At 34.2% G+C, this 19,036-nt stretch overlaps 1 protein-coding gene across 3 annotated transcripts in view; it reads right to left on the minus strand.

The window, feature by feature from the left end:
• MGAT4C (MGAT4 family member C) overlaps positions 1–19,036 on the minus strand; it is an 883,334-nt gene that overhangs the window by 753,501 nt on the left and 110,797 nt on the right. For 2 of the 3 annotated variants that reach the window (NM_001351286.2, NM_001351285.2), the window contains exon 2: positions 18,042–18,074. The exons of the other annotated variant lie outside the window; for it this stretch is intronic. The gene's annotated coding sequence lies outside the window, so the exon portion shown is untranslated. The remainder of the gene's footprint in view (positions 1–18,041; positions 18,075–19,036) is intronic. 3 annotated transcript variants of the gene reach the window in all.

The raw sequence follows: 19,036 nt of genomic DNA on the forward strand, positions 1-19,036 counted from the left end.
TAAGTCTCACGAGATCTGATGGTTTTATAAGGGAAGTTTCCCTGCACAAGTTCTCTCCTGCCTGTTGCCATCCATGTAAGACGTAACTTGCTCCTCTTTACCTTTCACCATGATTGTCAGGCTTCCCCAGCCACGTGGAACTGTAAGTCCATTAAACCTCTTTCTTTTGTAAATTGCCCAGTCTCAGGTATGTCTTTATCAGCAGTGTAAAAATGTACTAATACAAATCTTTATTATTTATTTTGTATTTCTAGCATTTATGTAATAAAATTATCACAATCAGGTCACTTTTGTACTTAGACTCAAAGTATTAGAAAAAAATCTTGAAATTTATATACCTAAGAAACATTTTTTTTACTGTAAGCATATATAGAAGATTTGTGATTATGTTTTGAAAACTTTTATTTTACATATGTATGTATGTATGTATGTATGTTTTATAGATATTATATTTGAGGCTGGTCTCAAACTCCTGGTCTCAAGTGATCCCCCCACCTTGGCCTCTCAAAGTGCTGGGATTAAAAGCAGGAACCTTCCCTCTCTGCCTGAACATTTTAAAATAAGTATTTCTAACTATAGATTCTGAATCACTAAAGGGACCTTGAGAGTCTCATAGACCTAATTATAATCACCCTGAAGAGATAGTTTTCTTGTTTTTTAGATTTTCAGGGAAAAAATTTACAAATTGCCTTTATTTATTTGTGCTAATACTCTTGGATGGCATAAAATTCTTGTATACACACAAAAATGTCTTTGTTCTTCGAGTTGAGGCCAGTTACTTTTTTCTGTTCTCAGAGACAACTAAGAGTTATTAATCACTAACCTTCATAATATTGTCCTTCAAATAAAGGTGATTATGAGATCATTATTTTTATGATGGAATAAATAATACTAATTTCTACTTCTATCCCCATAAAAATCTGAAGAACTCATAAGAATTGTCAATAGACATATTAGAAACCTTCCAACTTCACTAGTCATTGAAGTATAGTAAATTACACTGAAAGCAAGATGTCTGTTTTCACTATCAAAATGGCCACCCCTCTTCTTTTTTTGCACATTCACAGTCAATGCTGATAAAGATGTAGTAAATACCCTTGAACCTCTGAGGTGGGAAGTATGATATTATTGTGCAACCTTTCTAGTAAGCAATTTCTTTAAAGTTATTCATCATTGTCTCTGGTTCCACTTCCAGGGATATGAGTTGTCTTACATCAGCTTCCATAACACTTACATTTTCTTAAGTGCATGTTTGACTTAAATTAGAAATCAAGCCTGAGAAGAGATTTGGTTGTAATAATTTATTGACTCTTTTGACTTTTTAATTATGGCCATTCTTCAAGAGTAAGGTGGCATCTCATTGTGGACTTAATTTTCATCTGGATGTGGTGAAACGGGAACAATTTACACTGCTGGTGGGAATGTGTAAACTAATACAACCACTAGGGAAAACAATATGGAGATTCCTTAAAGAACTAAAAGTAGAACTATCACTCGATCCAGCAATCCCACTACTGGGTATCTACCCAAAGGAAAAAAAGTCATTATATGAAAAAGACACATGCACACAAATGTTTATAGCAGCACAATTCGCAATTGCAAATATGGAACCAACTTAACTGCCCATCAACGAACGAGTGGATGAAGAACATGTGGTATATATACACCATGAAATACTACTTAGCCATAAAAAGGAATAAACTAATGTCTTTTGCAGCAACTTGGATGGACCTCAAGACCATTATTCTAACTGAAGTAACTCAGGAACGGAAAACCAAATATCATATGTTCTCACTTACAAATGGGAGCAAAGTTATAAGGATGCAAATGCATAAGAATGATATAATGGACTTCGAGGACTTAGATGCGGAAGGGTGGGAGGGGATTGAGGGATAAAAGACTACATATAGAGTACAGTGTACACTGGTCGGGTGACAGGTACACCAAAATCTCAGAAATCACCACGAAAGAACATCCATGTGTCCAAAACCCACGTGTACCCCCCAAAAATTTGAAATAAAAATATAAATTAGTTATAAAATAATACTAATAATTTATTGACTCAATGTAGGAAGAGAAACAGTATGGGAATAGAGAAAGAGCCAAAAGGGGGTAAAGATTCATCTAAGGTAAAGTCTGTACCTGGCGCTCCTGAGATGCCATCTTAGCTGCCAGTACCAGGAGCTGGGGAAGGGCTAAAGTTGAACATTAGGAACCAACACTCATATTTACGGGGAGATGGGCACATTGGCCCAATAAAGAGGATTCAGTCAGTATACCAAAACAGATCTACCGCATAGTTTTGGAAATAATCACAAATGTGTACTTAAGATTTTGTGTATAGATGGTCACTACACTGTTAACACTAATTAAAAATTGGTTTTTGGTTCTTATATTGTTTTTTCTTTTAAGTAGTACAACTTTTTTAGTTCAGTAGTATAAGATCTCTATTAATTTGGAATAAAGGATAAATGGAAGAAAAAAATATGAAAACAAGATAGACTTTCATCTCACAAATTTAGTTATTAAGCTGATATTTTTAAATTAAATTGCTAATATATTAAATTACACAAAAACGAAGAATTTAATATGTCTCATATTTGTGTTGTTTTGTATCAGAGCCAGACACACAATTTGAATGACCCAGTGCAAAATGAAAATGTGAAACCCCTTGTTAACAATTATTAAGAATTTCAAAACAGCAACAGCAGAGCCATAAACCATGATGACCTTTTAACTGTGGGGACTGTTTAACTGCACAGATCATATGCCCACAAAATCTGTCCTGCCCTGGGAGCAGACTACAATTTTAAATGGAGAGGATTTCAATTTTGATATATTGCCATGTGCTGGTGATGATTTCTTATGTTAGATAAGTACCTGCATATACAATAAACCCTTTAGATTCTAAATTTGTGGCAGTTTCCCATTTCATTTATTTATTAAATGAGAAGATAATAAATTTAATATTGTAATAAAAGATACGTTTGGAGAATAAATAACTTATAAACTTATATTTAAAAGATATCCACAATTTTTAAAAGTTGAAATATTTTTGGAATGTATACATACAGAATTTATGCTTCTTTACCCTGCAACAATAAAATACAACATTCCAACTCAAAAAAATATATAAAAGGATGGCATAGGGAGCAAGAAAGTGTTTTCTGAAATTAAGATGTTTATCAGTTCTCGATCCATGAATAACATAATCAATGACTAACCATAAAAAATAAGAAAAACTTCAGACAGTTTGTATAAGTCAACAGGAGAAACTCAAAAAACGTGGGGAAAGAAATATGCTGGGCTGTGTTTTATCAGCACAAGAGCAATGAGTCATTTAGGGGATGCTGGAATCTCTTGAGTAAGATCCACTTGACAAAGCATTTATGCCATCTGATGTCACTGTGACTCATGACGAAACTATTATTTTTGAAAACTGGCTTGTTTTCTTTAGCATGAATCACTAACTTGAGTTTTTAAAAATATGTTCATCTTCTAGCCACAGTAGAAACAAAATTAATTTTGAGGAAGGTGAGAATCGAGTAGCCAGGGTGCTTATAGTCTCAAGTCAGGTACCAGGAAGGAAAAGCTCTACTGAGTTCACACATAAAAGGTAGCTGCCGATTGTAGACAATTTTGCCTCCTCTGGCTCCATTCTCTAACAGAGTCTATATTTTTCCACCACCCAATACCTATCGATTTATAACATTAAGCCAGAAAACAAAAAGCCATCCTTCCCCTATAAGACGAGTAATAAGCATTGATAAAATCATTTCATGGATAGAAATTTTGTTAAAAGTTTAGCATTGTGACATTTTAGTCCATCTGCAATTTTCTACTATTTATTCTGAAACTGTCTGTAGACCCAGTTTTGATTCTATTTAATCGTTATGGAATTGTTCCACTCAAATACATAAGGCTGCACACACATACACACACACACACACACCATGCTATTTATACAATTACATTAAGGGATTCCACTTATGTTGAAAATAACAGTGTTACTGTTAACTTGTGTCTTCTTATGTATAACAGATGGTTTACATGTTGTTTTTTAAAGAGTAGATTTGATATAAAGGTAGCTATGAGACTGTACAACTCCCTCTGTGAGTACTGTTGATTTTGATGAATTGGTTCTTTTTTCTCCCAAATGACAATATGTTCAAACAGCTGTTGAACATTCAACCAACAACTATTAGGGTGACCCTACCCTCTGAGGATGTATCATCTTATTCTGAAAATATTCATTCATCTTTTTGGGTTCTCACATCATAATGAATGCATCTGTTATAAATTAATATTATAAAATTAATATTTGTGGAATTATAAGGGCTTCTACCTCTATAGTAAAGATATGTATTTTTAACTTTTTGAAGACTATATGCTACAAGAAAGGATAGTTTCATGAAAATATTGAGTAAAGTTAGGAAATGAATAGTTATGAATGCAAAAACATTAGCTAAACTATTTTCTGAGCTTTTACAATGTATTAGTAGTTTTATATATATGAGTTCATTTTATTTTCTTAAAAACTCCTATGAAGTCAGCACCATTGATATCTCTATTTTAAGGATGAGGAATCTGAGGCTTGAATAATTTTAGTAACTTTTCCAAAGTCCCATAGCTTGAAAGTGAAGGAGAAAAGATTTGACTTTAGGCCTCAGCACCTACGGACTTATGTATTACATTATTATGTAATTCAGAGCCCCCTTTAGTTATTAATTCATATTTTAAACATTTATTATATTGGCCTGTGATGTAGACAGGTATGCTAGAAGCATATTAGAAAATGGTTTGCACATAGTATGTTTTATTGCATCATGTGAGTCCTCACGAGCATTGCAGAAATTTCATATAGGAAGCAACAGCACTAAATTTTATTATCATCTTAACAAAAATTTAACTTGAAATTTTTATAGAAAGCTAAATCTGATAGGCATCCATTGAATGGATAAAGGACATCTATTCCAATTATGGAAATTAAGGGACAAAATAAAGACAGAGAGAAAATACTTCAGTATTTTTACCAAAATGCAGGTTAGCATTTCACTTTTTTGTTGGCTTAAGTCTCTTCTACCTCCATATATAAGTTGCACTTTGAAGACAAGTATACTAATGTTCTTGTGTTATGTTCTCAGTGTCTACCTCAGTATTTGACATGTGGTTAATTTACAGTAAATACATACAAAGCAGGGAGGCAGAGAATGATATTGTTTGGCTGTGTCCCCACCCAAATCTCATCTTGAATTGTAGCTCCTGTAATTCCCACGTGTTGTGGGAGGGACCCGGTGGGAGATAATTGAATCATGAGGGTGGTTTCCTCCATACTGTTCCTGTGGTAGTGAATAGGTCTCACAAAATCTGATGATTTTATAAGGGGAAACTCCTTTCACTTGGCTCTTCATTTGCTCTTTGCCTGCCACCATGTAAGACATACCTTTCGCCTTCCACCATGACTGTGAGGCCTTCCCAGCCATGCAGAACTGTGAGTCCATTAAACCTCTTTTTCTTTATAAATTACCCAGTCTCCAGTATGTCTTTATCAGTAGTGTGAAAATGGAATAATACAGAGAAGGAGTGAGGAAAGAGGTGGAAGGGAAAAAGGAAGGAAGGAAGGAAGGAAGGAAGGAAGGAAGGAAGGAAAGAATTAAAGTAGGAAGGAAGAAAGGGTAGAAGAAAGATGTAACGAGAATAAGAGAGAAATTATTTAAGAAGATATTAAAACAATAATAGCTATTATATGAGGAGTTAGAAAAAGAGGGCTTTAACCATAAATGAACAGAAACTTTTCTTAAGTTCACTTCATAACATACAGCATATTTGAGAAATAATTAGAAGTTGTGATAATTTCACCATGTCACATGGAAACTTATCTCGTTATGTTTAATTCAAACTTTGTATAATTATATATAATTCCTAAATAGCCCTTTACTTTTAAAAGTGGGTAATGATATAACAATAAAACTAATTTATTCAGGCATGTTTATCCCCACACAAAATCTTTTAAACAAGTTTTCAAGAATCTGAATTTCAGTTATAACAGCTGTCTTTTCTATTACTTAAACATACTTTGTAATTTTTTTCTTAAAGTAAACTACCATACCAAGAAAACAGAAACAAAAAAGCAAGCATGCTAATTTGTACACTTAGAAATTAAAGTAGAAGCTATTCTTGGAGAGGGAGTGGCAGTAGCTGATGGGTGAGGAGCATAAGGGAAGATTCTGGCTGTTGGTTATGCTCTGTTTCTTGATCTGGGTGCTGATTATATTATTGTTTGGTGTTTGTGCAAACTACCAAGCTGTATGTTTTTCTGTATGTATATTATACTTGAGTAAAAAGTTTAAACTTTTAGAGAGTCAATCTTGCTCCATGTTGTGGTTTGTGCAAACATCAAGGCATAATCACAGAACAAAAAAATTTAAGACCCAAGCTTCAATCGCAAAGCTGACAGATTTCTACACTTAGGCTCTTAAGCATTATTCTTGTGCTCTTTTCTTGTCCTAAGCAATATTTACTGTACACACAGCTAAGGAAGTCTACTCCTTTTACTCTGTCACTATAATATGCTTTAGCTAGACTTATTTGATGTCTTAGATCAGCATCAGTTTTAGATTATTATTCTGTGTATGAATGGTTAAAGTTTAGTAATCATGTTACCTAAATTTCAAAAGGGAAAATATTGGGCTTTTACAAAAATGTACTTTCAAATCAAGTAGTTTTGTTGTGTTTCTGAAAAGGAAAGAGCAAACAAAACTAGAAATTGTGCTACTGAAAAGGAAAGAGCAAACAAAACTAGAAATTGTGCTATTATTTGCTTCAATTTATCCACCTGAGATTAGTTAATCTACTCATAATGTAAGATGTGTTGTTTCAGGCAGATAACTATATAATATGTTGGTATGTTGTATTTTGTTTGTTACTATTGTGAAAAATAGTCCCACTGGTTTTCCAAAAGATACAGTAAACTGCCCACTAATTGCCAAAGGTGTTTATAAACCATCAGTCATCCCATACAGGAGGTACATATAAACATTAAACAGGACAAACTATTAATTTACTATTAATTAAAACTACTGAATTTGTGCCAAATTAATTCAAATAAACATAAAAATTAAGAAATAAACCATTTTGGTGGACAACAGTGCAATTTTAGTTTATATATTAACTACTGCCTCTGCTTCATATGTTGGCCCTACCTAATATTATCTTTTTTTATTCCTTTTGGTGGTGTTCATTAATCTTTGAAAGCAAACATGAAAAAATATAAATCATCTCATTTAGTATCTTGCCCTTGCAAAAAAGATAGTAACTTTAAAATGAAAAGCAGTAAAAGGGTAAATGTACTGGCATGCTGGATCTATTCAGCTCTTCAATTCCTTTCCCTTCTGAAAAATGAAGGGGGTAAACTCATTGAGAAGTTATTAATAGTTTGCCAATTGATTCATATGTCATTGCACTATACAAAATTTGTAGAAAGGAGAAAAATGGCTTTAATATATTTGAATGCTCTGTGCAACAAATGTCCTATTCCTCTGATAAGTGGTAGCTGTCAACTGATGACAGATACATGCCTTATAATAGGGAGATGCCAGTTACCAAGTGAAAGATAATGTTTCATATATTTGAAAGTTAAGTTGAGATGGGGATAAGACACTAGTTTACCTAGACTTCCACTGTAAACAAAAGTATGCTAGTTTTGGGAGAGTTCGGGTATTCCCTGCCCTTGAAATATGCAGTTGATTCTTCCTACCTCCTAGCACTATATACTATAATCTAAGCTGTTGTCATTGTAGTAGTGATAGATTTGCTCTAATAATGAAAATGAATTTGCTTTAACCCAATCATGGTTTCTCATGGTTTGTGACAACCTGCAATTGAAACTGACCTCAGAATGGGAAAAAATAATCAAATGTTGTGCTCTTTTTTTGGCCAAAGGACTTCCTCTGCCTTAGAGCACAATTTTTTTAAAAAACAGACATCAAGAAGAAAACTTGTAATTATAATTATTACAAAAAAAAAAGCTCAGAAAGACAAATTTGAAGCAAATATAACAAATTACAACAAACTACACAGAGTTCATTCTTAAACACCTTATATAAGAATATAAATTCAATAAAATTTGAAAAAATAGAAATATCATGTCAATAATTTAAAACATTGATACTACAAGAGAAAGCAAGAATTTTGTATTAAAACTTAGTTTTCCCTCACCTTTAGTCCTAACCCCTTTGTTCCTTTTCCATGACTAACAGTTCTGATATTATTTCCTTTCTGAATTGTAGGTTGCCTTGCAATTATCTTCAAAATTTGAAGAAGTAGATTATGCTGTCAGAAATACATAGCATATTTTGTTAGTCTTGATTAGTGATTTTTTCCTGATAAGTATTTCAAAAGCCTAAAATGCTAAGTTGTGAGGTTTTCTGAGAGAAAATAAAAACTCATCTCTTGGAAAGTCATTACTTTATAAATTGTTTTTATTCAAACAATGGAAGATAACATAAAAATCAGCTGAAACATGAAATAAGAGGAAAAAAGTGCAAGAAATAAACACTCAAGGTGAGCCTCAACAAATCCATAACTTAATGGAAACCTAATTTTACATACTTATATATGTATGGGTAGCATGAATATTTTGATGATTTTGCAGTGTCTAATTCTAGAACGTTCTTGTTTCAATACTGTTTCTACTTCACAGTTTATTATTAGGAAATTTGATATAAATTTTTGGCTAAGTTTTATACTCTTCTCTTCCAGGTTTCTTTTTCCCTTACTATCCTTTCTGAAAATTTATGTTAACCAGTTATTTTAATCAGGAGGAATTTCATCCCCAGAAGACATCTGGCAGTGTCTGTAGACGTTTTTGTTGGTCATAATGGGGGATGGGAAGGTTGTATTCTCTATTGATACAAACTAATGATGCTGTTAAATAGCCTACAATGCATAGGCAAGCCCCCCACAACAAAATTGCCGGGCTTTAAATGCCTAACACCATTGTTGAGAAACCCTGATCTAAACCATGATGGTAAAATAAACTCTGTAACTGACCCATTGTTTATGTTTTTTTCTAAACAAACAAACAAATGTTCTCAGTATTTCAATAGTTCTTGTGTTGGTTACCTGTTGTGGTATAAAAGCCCCAAACAGTAGCTTAAAACAGTAGCAATCAATTATTTTGTTCATGAACTCAGCAGTTGAGTGGGCTCAGCATGTGAGTGTTTGTCTCACCTGTGTCTTTCATGCAGCAGCAGTCACACAATGTCTGAGGATGGGGTTATCTTAAAAGGCCTATCACTTGCATAGCCAGGGCCTGGGCTAGAAAGAATTAAACAACTAGTGCTGAAACAGTAGAGGCTGCATGGACATCTCCTCTCTGTATATGGTTTCTTTACTTGATCTCTCTACATCAGGGGTCCCCAATCCCCTGACCATGGACCACTACCCATCTGTGGTCTGCTAGGAACCAGGCTGCACAGCAGGAGGTGAACAGCAGGCAAGGGACCATTACCACCTAAGCTTCACCTCCTGTCAGATCAGCGGGGTCATTAGATTCTTATAGGAGCAAGAACCAGAACCCTATTGTGAACTGTGCAGGTAAGAAATCTAGGCTGCATGCTCCTTATGAGTGTCTAACTAATGTCTGTTTATCTGAGGTGGGTCAGTTTCATCCCCAAACCATCCCACCCCCTCCATGGAAAAATTCTTTTCTATGAAACTAGTCCCTGGTGTCAAAAAGTTTGGGGACCACTGCTCTACACGGTGGCCTTAGGGTACCTGGGTTTCTTTACATGATGGTTACGTTCTTAAAGAGACAATGTCCTCAAAAAGACTGGCACAAGCTGAACAAATGTTTCTCTAAAGTTGCACAGTATTTTTCTACCATATTCTGTTCTTCAAGTTAGTCACAATATCCTGTCCAGGTTCAAGGAAAGTTAACATAGCCCCTACCTCTTAAATGAATGAAGATTGTCAAGAACTTGAGGGCATGGTCCACCTTCGTATCACAAGTACTTATACTTTCACTACGTGCAAAATACACTCACTCCCTCTCAAGACTTTCAAATGTCTCATATATTGTAATATCACACTCAGGTTTGAGGTTTTAGTATCCTGTTATCTAAATGAGATCCATGCACGTAAGAAGCTCTGTGCCTGTGGTTGTTTCAGTACAGCTCCTTCAGTGCTGTTTCTCTCAACCTGTAGATCTATGATCTAAAGAGACAAGTTATCTGCCCACCATATAGCTAACATACAATGATGGCTCACATATAGAAGAACTGATACAATTCCATTCAAAATAGGTAAGATGGGAGGCAATCAGAGTCACTGATTCATAGCAATTCTGAAATCCAGCTGAGTACATGTTGCCAGTTTCTTGATGATGGCTCAGTCTTATTGCCTAGGAATGATTTATCATACCTCTTTGGTCTGCCTTCTGGGTCTTGATTTTGTTGTCTGAATCATCCTTCCTTTTACATAAGAAGTGACTGGTGTTTGCAGCTGAGTGTTCGCAGCTAGCTTTCTGCTCACAGAAATCCTGAAATCCAACTTCCTTTTAAATTTATACTGTCCCTGTTCTTGCATTCCCACCTGATAAAATTTCTTTAAAACTATGTGGGTTTTCAATGAATTAATGTGCAATTCTTTCTATTAGAAAAAATACACACTCACAGATCTCAAGGATGTTGTGGGGAAAGTCTTTGAAGTTATTAGATCTCCTGTTATTTTACAGAGATTATCTGTGAGGAACAACCTTGGCATCATTAAAAGACTTCTTGACTCTTTGAGAGAGTCTACAAAACTTAACCTTAGGTCTTTTGGGATCCTTAACAGAGGGCTATCTTGAATTTGATCTTTCATTATAAAACATGTCTTAATTTAAAAATATTTTGCAAATGAGAGAGCCTTGGACTGAGAAATATTGTGGTGGTGGACAGGTGGGGGAAAGGAACAAAGAAATTCTGATTTCTTTCCATTTTCTCTAAATATGACTTAAGATTAAATGTAAACTTTTCCAACTTTCTTGCTTTGTTATCTCTCTACATGGCATCCTCAGGGTTGCTGGATTTCTTGGTAGCTAAAGTCTCCGAAATCATGTGTTCCAAGAGAGACCTACAGAAGCTGCATGACCTTTTATAATCTAGCCTCAAAGTTATGCAATATCAATTATTCTTCAATGTATTTATTGAGACAGTCCTACAAAGCCCTCAGGTTCAAGGTGGTGGAAACAGACTTGACCTCCTAATGGGAAGGAGAGTCAAAGAGCTGGTGACATTTTAAACTACTGCAATGTTCTATATGTTATGTTTATTTTAAAGTACTACCCCAATTAGGTCCTATTAATATTAACATCTATATCATCTGTTCATGATTCAAGTTTTTCCCATCATGATCTAGCTCCTTACTCCCTATATCTCCTTTTAAAGTCTCACTCAATCATCCAACAAAAATTATTAAAGATGGCTTACCTGGATCAGGAGCAATAAGAAAAAAATTAAATACAGGACATGATTTACGACCTTAAGGCACTCATAAGTTAGTTGAAGAAAATTCTAAAATATGAAACACAATTCTAGACTATCAACTGATATAATAGCATGTTAAAAATGAAATTTGGATTTAGTCATTATAAAGTAGAGGCATTGTTTATAGAAATTCAAGAAGATAATTAAAATGAATCCTCTCACTCACATCAAAGATACATGGTGGTTGAGAGTTGGGAAATAATAAACCATAATATTTAAGGAAGATGTCTTTGGAGAGAGCTGAGCAATAAGTTGTATACTCTGCCCTTCCTCATACTCCCACTTACATACTCACATGAAAAAATGGAGGGTAAAATTAATCCCAAGTTGGTGAGAGAAACTTTGACCAATCAAGAATCTCATATGTGTTTGCTGATAGGTATGGGGCCAATGTAGAATGGTTATTGACTCATGCTTGAAAAACTAAAGGGGAAACAGAGAAGGTGGCAAGTGTGAAATAATCAGTTTTGCCCCAGTGATGTGTCAAACGTGCAAGAATGTGATGCACCATGTGTGGATCTAGCAGGAAGCACACTGGCCTGTAATCATTTAAAAAAGAATCTTGTCAAAAAGAATGACCTTGCAGGACCTGAAGATTTTAGTCAAGGCTTGGGTGCATTACGTCAACATTTGAGGATTAATTAGAAGAAACATAATTAAGAGAGGCCCTGCGCACACCAAGAGAGAGGGAATCTGAGAAATTTGAGACAGCCATAGAAATGCACCATAAGAAAAAAAAAAGTAGACTAGCGCAATTCATCTGGCTCAGAAGGCTTGGATTCACCTTTAAAATGTTCTTATCCACTTTCCTCTCTTCTTTCCCCTACCTTGACCGTAGATTCAGAAGAATCTTTGGCTAGCAAGTTTAGCATGGATTGGGGAGCTAGGGAAGACTGAACTATCATTTATCTGCCTTACATTACAAAGTCCCTTAGTGAGGAGGAGGAAAACACTTCAAATCAGGTTCAGAATTTGATTATTCTATGGGGTGGTTTATTCAAATTTTGCAGAATTGGGACTGTTTTTGCCTTAAAGTGACCATAAGGCTTTATATAACGTAAGATTGAACAAAAAAACACACGCAGTTTGCCAGAGGGTCCAAGCTGGGTCCCTGATTGTTTAAGTCTATTTATGTAGCACGCCATGCTTCAATGAAATCTAATACTGTATGTTTTAAAGGAAAATATTCAAATCTGTGATTGCGACATTTGATGCAGGTAGAATGGTTAGCCCAGATATTATTAATCTCATGTCATTCAATGATAGAACTGTGGATAATATTTATTTCCCTGGTGTTGCTAAATCACCCCATATGTCAAGCTCTTACATCCTAGATTAAGCAAATATCAACATAAATAACAAGGACAGTAAATAGAAGAATGTTATGGCTGGGTGAGCACTTCAGCACTTTTCAGTCATATTTTAGTAATGGTTCTGTTCTCCCAGCAGTGAGCTCAAGAACTAGAGAAATGAGGATGACAGCAGGAGGGAGGGCACTGTTAACTGTGCATGACAGGAAGCAAGCATGGAGCAAACCGAAAGAGGGAACTGTAGCATTGCTACAGGCCAGAGAAGACTCTGAGCATGCATCTTTTCCCAAAGATCCTAAAGGACAGAGTAAAACTGAGCCAGTGTCCTTACAGCAGTTAAACATCTGAAGTTGAGGCCCATCCTGTAGATGCCAACAAAAGATTGAAGATTTATAATTCTATTGTGGGGCCTTTTCTTGGTAATGAACTAACTTGCTGAAAAAGTAAACACACACACACATTATAAAATATATATATTGAAATGCTTTATTTTCCCATATCTTAATACATTTTGTGAACACATAGCACACTATCAAGACCACCTCAAAGACTGACCTGGAGGTCCCAAAGTATCATATCCTACCAAGTCAATAGTTTTTAAGGGATTTATCAACAGTCAACCATAAAATAATAACAGAGCTTTTGTTAAAACAGAATATATTGGCTGTTGTTACTAAAAGATTCTACATCTCTATTCATATCTCAGCATTGCTTTACTCTGTTCCCTCAGAGTAGCAAATAAAAACAAAAGCAGTTACCTAATTTGGTTTATTCACACACCTCAAAAATTAACTCTAGGTCAAATGTCTATTCCTCATTCTGGCTTTGGAGGTTATAAAGGGATGGAAACTGGGTCCTTACTAGTTGGTATACATAAAATTGTCTGATACATTTTAGTAGGGAGCATATGGTATGCATATGGAAAATATAGGTCCACCATATGCTGGTGTTAAACCCAGGTGTCGTCCTATTAATTATTTGTGTTTCTTGAGAAGAATACAGAGACATATGTGCAATACTGGCATTGAATTCATGTTCAAATCTGTACAACTATTTTATACATGATAGCCACATCACACAACATTTATTCAGTATTGTTTATATCAATTGACTAACAACATTGTCTCTTACTACTCTGAATTTTAAGAATATCAAACAACTAATGTTGCTAGTTTCATCGTTGTTCCTCAGAAATTTATAAATAAATAATTACAGTGTATGACTTCCTACATAAATTCCCTAAGCCACTGTGGATGTTATGGAAATAAAATGTCTATCTTAGACAAGAAACATTTGTTAAGATAATGTGTTAGTTTTCTAGGGCTGCCAAAACATAGTGCCACAAACTGATTGGCTAAGAACATCAGAAATTTATTGTCTCACAATTCTGGAGGCCAGAAGTTTGAAATCAAGATGGCCCTTTGAAGGTTCCAGGAAAGGATCTGTTTCAGGCCTGTCTCCTGGTTTTGGCAGCCTCGGGGGCTCTTTGTCTGTCGCTGGCCATCTTCTTGCTGTGTTTCTTCACATTGTTTTCCCTCTGAGTAAGTCTGCATATCTGAATTTCCCCTTTTAATAAGTACCTATTATATTGAACAAGGGCTCACTCTAGTGACCTCATTTTAACATGAATACCTCTGTAAAGGCACTATTTCCAAATAAGGTCACATTCTATGGCATTGGGGAACAAATACATGAGTTTGGGGGGGACACAAGTCAATCCCTGAAGGACAGTCTCCTTTTCCTTATCATTTTTTCTAACAGTTTAATTTTTAAAGTATTTCAATTAAAATGTTAAAGTGCTATTGTAACATTTTTCAGTTCTCTGGAGATTGTAATACAAATAAAATGTAACAACTGCCTTAAATTTCATTGGTAAATAGGCAAAAAGCATGTAATTAAACTGTTTCTCTCTGAAAAGATTTCTGAAATTGTGTGTTCACAAATTGTGTATGTGTAAGTCTTGTTTAGATAACAATTAAAATAGGAAAGCAAAGTTTTTCCTTAATTTGAACATGTATTTGTTCGATACAATACCCATGCATTATAAATTTAACTTTTATAACATACTGAAAAACTTCAAACCTGTATAAAAAAACATTTTCATAGATTTTACCATATATATAATGTATATATCTTTTAAGTATGAAATGTTGCCTTTATGATTTAAAATTCATTATTAATTATGGTTCAAAATAGTTTATGGCAAATGAGCACTCCAACACCCAATGATTCTTTTAAATTCTTGACTTCAGGATGCATACACCTATTTAATGATCTCCTCAGCACTGTTGTGTCTCCCCAAATTGTAATGCTTTAATGATGCAATTGGTCTTTGATAAAATTATAGGCATCTCTAATAATTTTCTGAAACTGATTTTTGCTCAATAACAAGTGTTTCAAAAACTGGGTCATCCAATGCTTTAAATTTGTTGTTATTACTTGCAGAGCCATCTTTTGGGACCCCTACCTCCTCTGGCCTACCATATTATATGGGGTATTTAAACAGCAGCATTATGTGTAGGTTGATTATGATATTTTTTCACTAATAATAACTATTAATAACTACCTGAGCTTCTACATAATAGATGCAGTAGCTGGAGTGACATATTGGTTCATTCATGTGACATTCAAAATGAAAATAAGATGTGCTATGTTTGAAAGACAGCCTTTGATTTTGGTGAAATGTCATGTTATAATGTCAACATAAGTTATTTGTTAATTTACTGAAAGCTTAAAAATCAACATTATCTCTTGAACTTATTCTTCCTATCCAACTCTAACTTTTCATCCTTTGACTAACATTTTCCCAACATTACTGCACCCAAAGCAGGCCAGCCTCTAGTAACCACCATTCTACTCTGTACTTCTGTGCTGAAAGCGGATGTTAAGTGTTCTTACCACAAAAATGATAACTATATGAGGTAATGCATTTTTTTAACTAGCTAGATTCAACCATTTCACAATGTATAAGTTCTTTGAAACATCATGTTTTACACAATACATAAAACTTTATCTGTCCATTTAAAATAATCAGCATCACCTGAATTTAATAGGATCTCTCACAGTGATTAATAGCTTAACAACTAGTGTTTTGAAAGTCAAAACATCTGAATATTATGGAATTGCCTAGCATTTTATTTGCTTTATTATATGCTGTAAAAGAAAGTACTTAAACTGAGGAACTGACTTCCTTAGAAGCTAGAGTACACCAGATTTTCCTCCTTTTCCCTATTTTTTAATGACCAGGGAGCTGTGTGAAAATTGTTACTTAATTTGTTCTCTGTTAGTTACGTACCAGTTCTCTGAATCTCAGTGAAGAATATCACATCCTTAGCCTTAAACAACTTGGGTGAAAGTGACAATGATTTTGAGTCAGACCAGACAACATTAAAGACTCCACAAAAATGGGATAAACACGGAGGCTAAAACATCAGCGCCCCCTGACATTTTTGTTTTGTTTTGTTTTTTTGGTAGAGACCGAGACCTTCTCTGTCACCCAGGCAGGGAGTATAGTGGGCGATCTCGGCTCACTGCAACCTCCGCCTCCTGAGTTCAAGCAATTCTCCTGCCTCAGCCTCCCGAGTAGCTGGGATTACAGGCGCACGCTGCCTCGCCCGGCTAATTTCTTTTGTATTTCAGTAGAGATGGGATTTCACCGTGTTGTCCAGGCTGGTCTAAAACTCCTGAGCTCAGGAAATCTGCCCGCCTTGGACTCTCAAAGGGCTAGGATTACAGGCGTGAGCCACCGCGCCCGGCCCAGCGCCCCCTTTTTATTTTGTATACAACCATGCTGTTGTCACATTTGTGATTAAAATACAGTAGACACAAATTACGACTTTATAGTAAGATGCTGAAGAATTCTGGCTTTTCAAACAACCTTTCCAAATGTGGAAAGTTGCATTATGGTTGCATTTTTCCTAGACTTTTAGGAATTAACTGCTTTACCTCTAGAATAAATATGATAGAATACTTATGAATATTAGAGAAAATATACAATCACACTTCAAATCCTTCACAAAAGAATGTCCAGTGTCTAAAGACTATGGATCGTTTCCAATTGAAACTGGAGCTCCTTCAAATGCTCATCTCAAAAATTCAGATAATTACAACAGAAACATCATCTATCATTTGACAAAAGACAGTTTAAAACATTGGAAATTTGAGCAAGATAATGTCATAAATATAGCTATGTCTTCCTCCTAACATTTAAGAAAAAGTTTATTAAATCAGGTCATCAGGAAGTCACATGAATACACATTATCTTTATTTCCTACAAAAATGTTTCTCTAACTTAAGGCATAAATTTATAGAGATGGAACGTCAATATGCAGGTGACAGGTCTGATAGAGATCCAAAAATGTAAATTGTCCATTTGAATAACACTGCTGTGTAAATCTGTGGTTGACAATACGATATTACCTAATATATTTTATATGCCTAAACTCCTTCTTATTCACTGGCATGAAGAAATGTGTCTATTCACATTAAGCAAAAATGGTTGATTTTTTTACTGGACAAAGGGAACTATACAATCTAAATGTTTCTCCTATTTTTGCCATACGTTCTAGTAACACAACCTTGGTTAGAGTACAACTGTAGTGAATTATTAATTGGATGTTTGTTAATATGTGCATATTCCTTTCTAATATTTTTGTCCTGTTCTTATTGTTTTTGTTTAATATGCATGCAACATCAAGTCGAATTTTATTGTTATTAAAAAAAGTGTGGTAGTTACATATAAAGATAAATAAGTACCACCTGTATTGGTGATTATAGCTAATTATTGACAATCTAAAATTAATTTGAAAACGTAGAGATGTTGTCCACAAAGGTGTAAATTTTTAGATATTATAGCAAAAATATTTCTTCTGTACACAAGTATTTGAACATACCTAAGAGTCTGCAGAGGACTTAAAAGTATATTTTCCATTTGAAGTAAAATCCTATGGCCTTTAAAAACTAAGACGTGAATTATATTTTAACCCACCCTAAGTTAAACATATTGAAAGGCTCTATTGTAATCACATCTTCAAATGTATGTTTTCTTCATTCTCATCTATGTTGAACCCTTAACAATAATTGTTATCATTTATACTGTTAAATCCAAATTATTCCACCCTAGTTGACACTAAGTGTTTAAAGCAAATAAAGTCTCAACATATAAAACTTGATGTGCACTTTTAAAATAGTATATAGTACTTACCCATCCAAGTAGAATGTAACAGCAGCTGAGAAGCTGTCAAGGAGAAAAATGCCAGAAGGATTAATAAATCATATTGCTATAACATGATGATGAGAATTATAAACAGCTATGTAAAAATTAGGTCACTGGCAGTCAGATGACTTGGCTTCTTTTAGTGGTGGTAGTAGAGGAGTGTATATTTATCTTTTGTTATGCCCTGGTAAGTAGCTGGCAAGCTTGCAATATATAAACATTATTTAAAGATGTTATGATTGGCTTGAATCCAGGAAATGTTCTCAGATTTACCATTAGCTATCAGAGATCTTAAATATTGCTAGAGAGGATCGAAGAGGCAAAGGAAAGCCAGAAGTTAAAAAAAAAGATATTAATAGTAAAAAAGTTAGGAAATAAAGCATGCATACTTAATGATACAAAAATTTTAAAACAGTAAAATCTAAATGTTCACATAGTTCTTAAGAAAGAGTGATTATTAAAGCATGTTATTGAAACAAAGGGAGAAGTGATCTAAAACAAGGGCTTACAGAATACTTTTTAAAACTTTTTATTATTTTCATTATTTTATATACATGGAAATCATTGTTCATAATGTATTTCTATAATATTATATATGAAAAGATCTATGTTGTTATTCACAGCCATTACTTGTAACTTTACACAAAAGTAGTGATATGACCACCAGAACAAAAAAAAGAAACAAACAAAAAACTCACTTAATTCTCAATCCTCATGCAATTTAACTGAAGAAGCTCTTGAGAAGGCCAAGTAATAACTTAGTTGTGATGTACTAGATTTACTTTGGTGATTTAACAATGCTCATGCAATTAATGTTCTTTATTGATAAATAAGTTTTATTCAGATAAAAGTTAACTATATTTATAAAATCATATTTCCATAGAAAAAGTCTATGAGGAGTGAGATGTGTTTACGCAATAAATGAGAAAAGTTTTTTAATATCAGTCCACTAAAATGATTCTACCTTGTATTACATAAATTAA

Source organism: Homo sapiens, chromosome 12 (genome assembly GCF_000001405.40).
Source record: "Homo sapiens chromosome 12, GRCh38.p14 Primary Assembly".
Classification (NCBI taxonomy): domain Eukaryota; kingdom Metazoa; phylum Chordata; class Mammalia; order Primates; family Hominidae; genus Homo; species Homo sapiens.